The sequence below is a fragment of the Homo sapiens genome, chromosome 11 (genome assembly GCF_000001405.40).
Source record: "Homo sapiens chromosome 11, GRCh38.p14 Primary Assembly".
NCBI classification, from domain to species: Eukaryota; Metazoa; Chordata; class Mammalia; order Primates; family Hominidae; genus Homo; species Homo sapiens.
In genome coordinates, this window is record NC_000011.10 from 34,542,554 (window position 1) to 34,555,360 (window position 12,807).

Below are 12,807 nucleotides of genomic sequence, written 5' to 3' on the forward strand. Positions count from 1 at the left end.
AAGATGGGAAGAGACCTTCTAATACCGCAGTAGAGAAGTCACAAGTCATTGTTCTAAAGGACATTCAGTTTACTAAGATAGAAGCTTTTCTGTCCTATTCTTACCTTAGGCACAATTTTAACAAGTTTTTTTTTGTTTTAACCATAGCTGATTAGAAAGAACAGGTTAGAAGAGGTGGGGAAGAAGCTGTTAGAGGTAAGCATACTGAAAGCAGAAATGACACCTGACCCTCTGATAGCGATAAGAACAGTGAAATTACAAAACGCACAATTGAACGCTCAAGTATGGGCTTGTTTCACGTATGGGAAGCAAATTTAGGTGGCATAGGACATTCCTGCACAGCCCAACAATTAATATTCAATGGAATGTCCCGAGTTACAAGAAGGTTAAATTATACTTTGCATACTCTGCTTAAGAAAAAGCAAAAGCGTTGAAACCTATTGGGTTTTTCATGGAAGAAGCTACAGCCATCTGGAAATGACACAGGGCTCTTTAATCATTAAGATGCTTGGACATTTTCACACAGAAACTGTGTTGCTGGGTGGGGGAGATTCTGCAGTCTCATCACTACATTTGGGTATGAAGGCCATCTTGCCAGTAAACAGCAGAATGGCAAATAGAAGATATCTTAGGACTTTGCTTCTCACGCTCTCCTCTTTGGAGCCCTGGGGTTTCCTTAGCATTCTCTTGTAGTTGGTGCTGGGGGTTGGCGGGTGGCGGGGAATTGTGTTCTCTCTGTCTACCATGATTAGCCCCCTATTTTCTGTGCAACTGGTGGGGTATCAGAGGAAGATTTTGTTTGAAGGAAATAGTTCTCTTCTGAAAAACATGGTAACAGTTTTGTTATGACAGATAATATGTGTATTGGATAGATGTTCTTAGCAGGCAGTGGTTAAGAGCATCATCGAAGGGAGTTCCAGTCCCAGCTCCTGGGCTTCACATCTCTGTACTTCAGTTTCCTCATTTGTAAAATGGGGATAATAATAGTACCTGTACTGGGTTGTTGTGAGAATTAAATTAGTTAAATAAAATATGTCAGGTGCTTAGAAAAGTGCCTAAGATATAATAAATGCTATGTTAAGTGTTTGCTGTTTATTATTTAAGAAGCTCCTTGATCAAGCATGCCCTGGAGAGGGAAGACAAAGCTCTGAAAACTGGTGCTATCTGAGCTTTGAAAAATGGGCAGGTACACAGCCACAAAAAAGAACAAGATCCTGGCCTTTGCAGCAACATGGATGGAGCTGGAGACCATTATCCTAAACAAACTAGCACAGGAACAGAAAACCAAATACTGCATGTTCTCACTTATAAGTGGGAATTAAACATTGAGTACACATAGACACAAAGAAGAGAACAAAAGACACGGAGGCCTACTTGAGGATGGGGGGTGGGAGAGGGTCAAAAAACTATCTATTGGTTACCGTGCTTATTACCTGGGTGATGAAATAATCTGTACATCAAACCCCTGCAACACATAATTTATCCATGTAACAAACCTGCACATGTACTCCTGAAACTAAAATGAAAATCTAAAAAAAATCGTGGGAGGTAAAATATGAATTTTTTATGTTATTATTTGTTTTGTACTTCATTTTGTAATTCCTCAAAATTAAAAGATCATCAAATCGAGAGAACAAAAACCATAAATAAAAATAAATCTTATTTTGCCCAAAAATTTTAAAAAAGGAAAATAGGTAAGTTATTTGCCACATGGAGAGGGGCAGTGCATTTTAGTTGGAAGATGAAGGCAAGGAGGGTGAAAGATTGTATGTCCAGGCACTGTCAGGAGCTAGTACACAGGAGATGTGTAGTAAATGGCAAATGGGACCCAGGTCAGCCACTGTGGTCAGAATGTAAGGGTGGGAGGGAGGTGATGAAGAACAAACAGCGCAGTGCCTGTGCCGTGCTGGGGACGATCTATCTCTCTTGTTTGCCTTGCTAAGGAACCAGAACTTCCTTCCCAGTGATATCTTTATTATTTATTTGTTTATTTTTGAGACGGAGTCTCACTCTGTTGCCCAGGCTGGAGTGCAATGGTGCAATCTCGGCTCACTGCAACATCTGCCTCCCAGGTTCAAGTGATTCTCCTGCCTCAGCCTCCCGAGTAGCAGGGATTACAGGTGCGTGCCACCGCACCCAGCTAATTTTTGTATTTTTAGTAGAGATGGAGTTTCACCACATTAGGCAGCTGGTCTTAAACTCCTGACCTTGAGTGGTCCAGCCGTCTTGGCTGCACAAAGTCCAGGGATGACAGGTGTGAGCCCGGCCCCAGTGACATCTTTAAATCTGCATTCTTGAGAGGTGCTCTGGCAGTGCTGTGGAGAATAAATAAATCAGAAAGGGAAGAGTTGGATGAAGTCAGTGGCTGTTTTAAAGATAAAACTCATAGGGTGGGGTATAAGACAAAGAGAGGGAGAGGTCGAAGATGATTCTGGAGGTTCCTGGTTTGGGCAGTTGGGTAGATGAGATGCTGCTCATCAAGATAGGGAAGGCAGGAGGAGGAGCAGGTTTGGGTGGGGCAAAGGAATGAGTTCATTTCTGGGACAGGTTGGATTTGAGGTGCCTAAAGGGAAATTGAGGGGGACATACTCAGTAGACAGTTGGATGGCTGAGTCTGGACCTCAGAAGAAAGGGAGCTAGAGATACTGATTTGGAAGTCAGGAGCTTATAGATGAGAGTTGAAACTTCAGGAATGCTTGAGTTCACTCAGGGAACGAGTACAAAGTGACAGAAGAAGAGGGAGAAGAATGGAACGTGGGGGAACACAGACCACAGAGGCGCAGGCCCAGGAAGGGGTCAGTGGGAGAGATGAGGGAGGGACAATGTGACAAAGCTCTTGGCTTGGGTAAGGGGGATGCAGAGCAGCTGTCAAGAGGGACCCTCCCAGGCCTTGCCCACTCTGATAATTGATCTGAAAAACAATATTGCTCTCAAAGAGTAAGAAGGGATTTATGGTCTTGGGAACAGTGTGTTTTGGAGTTGGAAAGAATCTCAGAGATTTTATGGTTCACTGGTTTAAAAAAAGGTTTAAAGGAGACAGCTCTTTATCATAAAAAAACTGAAACTTTGTGCTAAATCTCAATAGATGATTGATAAACATAGAGCTGCCACAAATCCCAACAGATGATTGAAAGCCGGCATGGTGGCTCACACCTGTAATCCCAACACTTTTGGAGGCTAAGGTGGTAGATTACCTGAGGTCAGGAGTTCAAGACTAGCCTGGCCAACATGGTGAAACTCTGTCTCCACTAAAAATACAAAAAATTAGCCAGGTGTGGTGGCAGGTGCCTGTAATACCAGCTACTTGGGAGGCTGAGGCAAGAGAACCACTTGAACCCGGGAGGTGGAGGTTGCAGTGAGTTGAGATCCCGCCATTGCACTCCAGCCTGGGTGATGGAGTGAGACTCTGTCTCAAAAAAAACAAAAATCAAAACAAAAACAAAAAAACAAACCAAAAAAAAAACCCCCACAGAGCGGCCATCATTGAGGCTGGAACTGGACAGCTTCTCCCAAATGTCTTGGAGCAACCTGTGGACCCCATCATTCCACATATATTTATATGCCAAGCTCTGCACTTAGCTGTGGTTGTAGCTGTGGATAAAAAGGCAGTTCTTGCCCCTGGGCTCAATGGTTTTCAACCTTGGCTGCACCTTAAAATCACCTTAGGAGCTTAAAAAAGTTCCCAATGCCCAGGCTGTGCCCCATACCATGAAATCAGTCACTGGGCAGACACCTCAAGCATCAGTAGTTTAAAAACTCTCCAGGTGACTTCAATGTGCAGTCACATTTGAGAACCAGCTGAGTGCAGTGTAGACAATCCGGTGAGTTAACGTATTTCTACTGAACCTAAATGGTAGAACCTTGAACCTGTTCACTCTCCTCATTTTATTCATGAGGGTCCAGGAGTTAAGTCAGCCAAGGTGGACAGAGAAGGTATTGGGCCTGGAACCTCTGTCCCCTGACTTCTTAGCCCACGTTCCTGTCTTCCTGCACACTAGTGTGGCCTCAGCTTGCTGGGTGCTGTACGGCCCTTAACCTGGTTGGTCGCTGGGCTTGGATGTTAAGTAAAAACCTGGTGAATGATCTGCATTGTTCTCTCTTTTCACCAAGGCTGTCTTCTTTCTCTGTGAAAAGCTAGTTGAATTCTTTCTCTAAATGGGGTATTCTTCATTCAGAGGCAGCACAATGGGCCTCTTTCACTGACAATTCAGTTTCTAGTAACAGAGACTGTGGGGCCTGCCAGCAATCTCCTTGTGAAACTGGCATGCTCTCGGTTCTGAAAATGAACCATGGGCACCAACACCTGGAGAAATAAGGAGCCCCTGTTTAAGCTGAGAAGGGTGCTGGAGGCACCTGTGTGATGTTGGGTCAGTGGAGGAACTTCTCTGAGCATTAGTTTCAGACTGAAACATTAGGACATAGGATTGCTGTGAGGATTAAATGACTTGATGTGTACAAAGGGTGGGGCACCCATTATGCACCAAGTGCTAAGCTAAGACTCTTGTATACACAATATGCAATTTAGTCCACAGAATTAAATCAGCAAATTCGATGTTATAGATTGTTATCCCCAGTTTATAAACGAGGATACTGAAGCCCAGAGAAGCCAAGTAACATGTTCAATGCTGCACAGTCATTGAAGGAGCTGGTCTTGGGCTTCCCCACAGTGAGAGGTCAGTATTATGTTAGCTATTGCATTTTGTGAGACATTGTTTAGAATTCAGATGGAAGGAAAGAAAAGATGGCATGGGAGGCAAGATTTTTTTTATTACTTTGGAGATTGTGCTCAGAACCATGATATTTAAGCTAGAAGCTGAGGAGTTTCATACTGGGAACAGGGGGAAAAAAACTAATTTTTTTCTGGGTGCAATTTAAGCATCATCCCATGCCTGTTTTGTGTACATTATTTAATCCACAGGAATAAACCTGCAAGGAAGGTGTTGCAGATTTTTATCCCTATGTTGGAAATGAGGATTCGGAAGCTCAGAGAACGTAAGCAACATGCCCAGTGTCACGGAGCAAGGTCAAAACCAGACTTTGGACCAAGATCTATCTGGCCTTGGAAGCATCTCCCCTTTGGCCTGGTCTTTGCTCTGTATGTCTTGTTGACCCCAAAGAATAAAGTCACCTACATGTTTCAGTTGACTTTTTAATTTCCTTATGAATGTCATCCCCACTCCCAAGTTCCCACGATAATCAGAAAGGGCGGTTTCCTAGGCTATTTCCTTGGTAGTCAGATTGGGAGGAGAATGGCACTAATACTAATACTAATAACCATAATTATGAGTAACATTGATTGAACACTATGTTCCAAGTGCTCAATATGTTCTGGACGCTGTTGCAAGAACTTGACAGATATTATCTCACTTAATTCTTACAATGCTCCTATATAGTTAGAATAGTTACTCTCCCCCTTTTTGGAGATGGGAAATTGTGGCACAGATCAGTTGACCAACATGTTTAATATTACACAGCTAGTCACAAAGAAGCTGGGATTTATTTTTTATTTTTTATTTTTTGAGACAGGGTCTCTCTCTGTCTCCCAGGAGTGCAGTGGTGCGATCTCGGCTCCCTGCAACCTTCACCTTCCCAGTTCGAGTGATCCTCCCACCTAAGCCTTCTGAGTAGCTGAGGCTACAGACATGTACCACCAAAGTTGGATAATTTTTTGGATTCTTTTGTAGAGACGGAGGTCTTGATACGTTGCCCAGGCTGGTCTTGAACTCTTGGAATCAAGCGATCCTTCTGCCTCGGCCTCCCAAAGTGCTGGGAATATATGCAGAAGCCACTGTGTCTGGCTGAGCCAGGATTTTAGCCATGTAGTGAAACCCAGAAATCACTTGGTGGAACTTGCCGGAAGCAGATATTGTGGTCCTCATGCCTCTTGACCTGGTTTTCTATTGGCAGCTGCCAGGTGTTTGATGAGGGAGTGCTCACTGGGGAATGACTCTCCTTCCACTTGATTTTGAGGGAACAGTGGTTCCTGGTGTGTGAGTTTCACAGTGAGCCTGAGAGCAAGGTCTCTGACCGTTTCCTGCCTGTAGATGTCCATGGACTTGGTCTCCATTTAACTCTGCTCCAACCTGCTCCCTCAGCTGGGCTCTCAGTCCTACCACATAACCCTGCCCTCTGAGAACCCAAGACAGAATTTAAGGAGGGGGGCTCCCATCCCGGAGGTGGGTCTCTTGTGCTTTCTTGCCTTGTTCTCATGCCGCACACTCTGCTTCAGGCCATCTTTGTTTCCCCAACCTTGGATCCGGGAGTCAGATCCGCATCCTGTCTTGGATGGCTGGAGATCCCTTGTGTGTCTCTGACCTTGGCCACCGTATTTTTACATTTGAACAAACTTAATGTGGAGAGATTAACTTGCTCCAAGGCACATAGTAAGAAGTAGCCAAGCTAGGATTTGAGCTCAGGTCTGTCTGACACCAAAGCTCCTAGCCACTATCCCCTGTGGCTTCCCATCTCTTTTTTTGTCCTTCTGTCTCTTCATTCTGAAGTCCGAAGTGTCACATGGGTGGGGGAGCACTTGGGTCATTTGCGTGAGGAGGGCGGCTCCTCTCCTTGCCATTTTCTCCCTGCCCAAACTGTGTGCCCTGTGAGCTCTCAAATCTGGACCCAGGGGGATCCTGCACAGTTTGTCTGGGGCAGAGTGTAAATAAGTCACTTGTCTTCCTCTCTGAGAGTGACAGGAATGGCTCTGTCATGTGTGAATGTGTGTGTACATTTGCGTGATCCACCCTCCCTTACTTGCCCCTCCTGACGGATAGCTGATCCTGTGTCTGAGTTTGATTCATTTTGGGTCAAAAACAACCCCGATCTGAAGATAAGAAGTCATCCCAGCAGGATTGGAGGGTGAGATAATGTGGCGCTTGCAATGAGTTCATTTTAACTGGTGACTTTTTCCACCTGAGTTCTCATGTGTGAAGAGTGAGTCCTGGTGTGGGGAGGCATGCCGGGGAAAGCTAAAAATACAGGCAGGCTCTCTAGGGAGAGCTGAGGTCTTCCCACTGCAAATGCATAGGAGCCCAGTCCCTGGACCAGTTGCAGAGGGTGGGGCAGGGCTGCTGGTGCAGACCTCTGGGTAACATGCATTCTGTAGTGAGCATTTACCAGGCTCATGGCAGCTAGCTTTTTTGAATACCTTTCTTTGGTTTGTTTCTGCTTTCTGAGTCTTGGTTTCCCAACAGAGGAGCCAGACTCATGTCTTCTCAGCCCCCTTTACAGCTGGGTCACGGAATAGGACTTGGCTCCTTCAATGAGATACCCCCAAAGCGGAATTTGATTTTGAAAGGGGGTACTATGAAAAAGCCCACTTTTTATATTACCCCTACAAGGGATAATTTGCAGGGATCCCTGCAAGGGATCCATTTTCAGGGGCAGCAGTGGTTAAGGTCCCGGCAGGGTCAGCGTGGAGTCTGTGCCTAGTGGTGCTGGCAGTGTCACCTCTGCAGGAGCAGCTGGGGATTGGGTGTTATTCTTGGTGGCAAAGTTTTCAATCTGATCCAGATACTCAATATGCTTTAAATATTTTGAGGCATGTTAAATGGCCTAGGCTATGGTCTATCTTGGTATATATTCCACAGATGCTTGAAAAGAATGTGCATTATGCTGTACCTGAGTGGAGAGTTCTATAAATGTTGATTAGACCCTTTTGGTTGATGGTGTTGTTAAGTTCTATATTCTCATTGATAATGTGTCTAGTTGTTCTCTATCAGTTGTTGAGAGACGGGTATTGAAGTCTCCAACTGTAACTGTGAACTTGTCTATTTCTCCTTTTAAGTTTTTACTCCATATATTTTGCAGCTCCATTGTTTGGTGCATACCTATTCAGGATTGCTATGTCTTCCTTCTGTATTGACCCTTTATCTTCATTATGTAATGTTCTTTCTACCTCTGGTAATCTTCTTTGCTTTGAAATTTACGTTATCAGATATTAATATAGCCACCTCGCTTGCTTTTGATTAAAGTTTGCGTGACTTTTTCTTCCCATCCTTTTTTACATTCAATCTACCAATATCATTATTTGAAGTGAGACAACATATAGTGAAATCATATTTTATGATCCAGTCTAACAACCTCTGTCTTCTTTGTGTGTTTAATCTCTGTATCTAGACCAACATTTAATGCAATTGCATTTAATGCAATTGTTGGTGTGTTAGGCCTTAAATATGCATTTTATTTTTTGTTTTTTTGTTTGTTCTCTGTTTTTGTTTCTCTGTTTTATTTTATCTGCCTTCCTGTGGTTTATTTGAACATTTTTAAAATTAAATTTTGATTTATTTGTTATGTTTTTGACTGTACCTCTTTGACAGCTTTTTTAGTGGTTGCTCTAAATTATATATATATGTGTTTATATACATGTACACACACATATAAAACTTTTATATGTATATTAAAAACTATATATATACTTTTATATATACATAAAACTTGTTACAGTCACCTGGCATGGACATATACCTGTTCAAGTGAAGTATAAAAACATATCTCCCTTTATATCCTTTTACTCCCTTCATTTATATTTTAAATATTTCCTTCAAATACACTTAAAAACATATTAGGCAATGTTATAATTTTTGCTTCAGTTATCAAATATAATTTAGAAAACTCAAGAGAAAAAATGATTATAGATTTCACTTATATTTTTGCTGTTATGTTCTTTTTTCTTCCTAATAAAGGAAAAAGATTTCTTTTTTTGGTCTAAGATTTCGTTTTTTGGTCTTCTTTTTTTTTTTTTTTTCTTTTTCTGTTCAGAGAAGTTTCTCCACCCATTCTTTTAGGGTAGGCCTGGTGGTGACAAGTTTTCTTCGTTTCCTTCATCTGAGAATGTCTTAATTTCTCATTCATTCCTGAAGGATATTTCTGCTGGATATTGGATTCTGAGTTGACAGTTCTTTTCTTTCAGCATTTGAGTAATTTTTTCGTGCCACTCCCTTTTTTCTTCCTTAGTTTCTGATGAGAAATACAGTGTCCTTCAAATTGTTTTTCTTTTATAGGTATGGTGTTTCTCTCTAGCTGCTTTTAAGATTTTTGTCTTTGAATTTCAGAAGTTGACTATGATGTGTCTTGGAATGGATTTCTTTGGATTTATCTTGTTTTGGGTTTATGGCTCAGCTTCTTCAATCTGTAGGTTTATGTCTTGCAAATTTGGGAAGTTTTCAGTCATTATCTCTTCAAATAATTCCTCAGGCCTGCCCTCTCTCTCCTTTCATTCTGGAATTCCCATGACATGCATTTAAATCTTTTCTGATAATTCTGTAAGTCCCTGAGGTGCTGTTGATTTTTTTTCATTCCAATTACGTCCCTGTTATTTAGACTGGGTTATTGCTGGATTACTATCAAGTCGGCTGTTTCTCTTCTCTGTGCCCTCCAATCTGTTGGTGAGCCCATTCATTAAGTTTTTAAATTTTTTGGTCATTATATTTTCCAGTTTATCTTCTATTTATTTACTGTGACATTCTATTTCTTTGATGAAACTTTCTATTTCTTCACTTGTTTCAAGTATATTTATAATTTGTACACTGAGGCACTTCAGTGATATTTGCTTGAAAATCTTTGCAGGTAATTCTGTTTCTGTTATTTTGATGTTGACATCTATTGATTATCTCTTTTACATTCAAGTTAAAATTTTCTTGATTCTTGGGGTGGAGAATTATTTTTTATGGGAAGTGGACACTTTGGTTATTATGTTATGCTACCCTGGATCTTATTGAAGCCTTCTGTTTTAGCTGGGCTTTATTTTATTGATACTGCTCTTGTAGAGGAAGTGGAGAGCTGCCTTGCTGGTCTACTGACACCTGAACTGGGGGAGGTTCCTCATTACAAGGGCAGGATTGGGAGTTTTGGTTCCCCACCAGGCCTTCACTGATACCACGCTGTCTGGGAAGGGTAGGAGTGCCTTGTTACTGCTTGTCACATGTCGTCCACTGACACTGCAGTAAAGGGAAGTGGCCTCATTATGTCTGGGTGATGGTAAAGCCCTGACTTCTCCCTTAGCTCCTCTGACACCATCCTGCACAGAAGCAGAAAGGCACCCTGACATTGCTGGCTGGGGGTGGCGGTCCAGGCTCCCCATGGGAGATCCACCTACACTGTGGTAGGTGGGTGCTTGTTACCACTGGGTAGTGATGAAAGTCCCAGCTCTCTACTTGGCCTTCTCTGACACCACGCAGGCAAGGGGTGTTAAGGAGTAATAAGACAGCCTGGCAAGAGTGGAGGTCTAAGTTCCCCACTTGGCCTTTGCTGGCCCCGGTGAGGGTGGGCACAGTATTTTCTGCGATATTTGGCTGGACTAGAGCAGTTATTGCCTAAAAGTTTCCTGTCTTGCTACCTTCCCCCTTTCCTGGTCCTTGGCTAAAGAGAGTTGGCTTTTATTGGGACTTTTAATGTCTGTGCTCATTTGCATTTCTGGGTTACAGAATACATGCTTCACCTAAGCCTGGGATATAAGAGACAGAAAGCAAACCCAGAAATCTCATATCTGTGACTTTCCTGGGGTCCCAACTACCTAGCTTGTCTGCCTTCCTCTATGCACCTTGCAGAATTTCCTTGTGATTCTTTTATATTGTCTATGGTTTTCAGACATACTTAGTGGGGGAAAGAGTGTGAAGTATACCTACTCCATTTCCCCAGAAACAGAAGTCCCAATATCCTTTGAAAGTTTCCTTTTTGCAGAAACTAGCCATACTGTGCTCTGTTGTTTGCAATCAAGAACCCCAGCTGATACCCTTTCCTTTTGTGAAGGTCAGGAGCAGAGAAGAGCTGTCCCCTGAAGCTGAGAACATTGGTCTCATCAATAAGTTCCCAGAAGTGGTAGCCCTCTGCTTTGCCTATGAGTGACTTTCCTCTGTTTTCTCCAGATCACAACAGGTTATCTTCAGAACATGACCAAAAACATTCTCGTGACTATTTTTCCCCTTTTTCTTTTTTTCAGATCTAGACCGGCAGATACTTTCTATTTTTTTAATTTCACAAGTAATACTTGTTGCTTATAGAAAATTTAGAACATATAGATAAGTGAAACAGAGACCACCTACATCAGAATAGCTACTGCTAATCTATGATATATAAATATTTTGTCTACATATGTGTAATATAAATATAATACAGATACTCTTTGAACTTACAATGAAATTACATTCAGATAAGCTCACTGTGAATTGAAAATATTCTAAGTCAGAAATGCATTCAATGTGCCTAACCCACCAAATATCATAGCTTCACCTAGCCTATCTTAAATGTGTTCAGAACACTGACGTTAGCCTACAGTTGGGCAAAATAACCTACCATAAAGCCAATTTTATAATAAAGTATTGAACATATCATGTAATTTATTGAGTACTGTACTGAAAGTGAAAAAAGGTTGCTCATATGGGTACTCGAAGTATGGTTTCTACTGAATGCTTATCATTTTTTGCACCATTGTAAAGTAAAAAAATCATAAGTCGACCATTTTAAGTCAGGAACTGTCTGTATATTATTATATCTATGCAATAAAATATACCATATGCTATACTTTTTGTTTAGCAACTTGCTTTTTCACTTAACCAGATATCTTAACATCTTTTCACTGCAATAAATATAGTTTTAGATAATCATTTTTGATGGTTACATAATATTCAATTGTAAGAACATAGTTATTTACATATCTGTTCTGTAATGTAGAATACAGAGACTATTTCCAATTTTTTCCATTGTACACAATTCTGCATGGGACTTCTTTGTAGATAGTCATTGTGCACTTATCTGATTATTTTAAGATAATCCCCTAGGAATGGAATTGCTGGGCTATAGGGAATGCACATTTTTGAAAAGATATCTTTTGATATGTAACTTCACCTAGCCTCCCTATCCTGCTTTTAGTCCTAATCCCATTTCTTGGCTCTTATTTGACTCCAGAGTGATCTCATTCACAGAGCACCCATGGTGCCTCCTTCAGAGGCCCCTCTACTTCTTTCTGTCCACAAGCGCTAGTTTGCAATAGGATGACATGTGAAAAGTTAATGCACATGCTACCACACCTTCCATCTTCCACTTTATCACATCCTAAGGGCCTTTCTTCATTCATGACATGGTGTAACTTCTGCACAAAGGTGGCAAGTGTTTAATTTTAGGTTCAAGTGCTAAAGGATCCAGATGTAAGAAGCAAGATTTGGGAAGTAGATGTGATCAGTCAGTTCCTTCCCTCACCACTGACCTCCGACCTTCTGGGAATAAAAAAGGTAGAGATGAAGTAAAGGGGCTAGGCATGAGTGTGAGTGGCCCTACTTCGTGTCCCCCTCCAAAGAGGAAGGTGTAACTTGGCAACAGGGGCATGGTGGTCCTATTTGTTTGAACAAAATTTTCAACGATGGCCAATATCATGTAAAGCCAGTAAAAGTAAAAACCAGCTGGTGGGGTAGGGAGGAAGTTTCCCATCAACTCTGAGGTTCATGAGGGTCCTCCAGGGAACCCCTAGGAGTCAGCAGATCTAGGGCTGCCATGAATGGTTGTGTAGTGTGCATACTGCACAAATGTGCTGGCCAAGGGGTCGTGGAATTGAAATCCACCTCATCTTTCATTATCAAGAGTTGGGCTCTGGTAGAGGACTGTGCCCATCTAGGTAAAGGGATGCCCTTTTCTTTGTACAAAGTACAATCTGCTTATAAACCATGTACCCACACAGCAGCATGTACCCAGAGGAGGTTTCTTTTCAAATTCTTCCGCCTAAATGGGGCACCGTTTTTATACAGGCCGCATAAAGGCAGATGATGCTTCTGCATGAATATACTTCGAAAACCGCAATAAGTATTTACCAGTGCATAG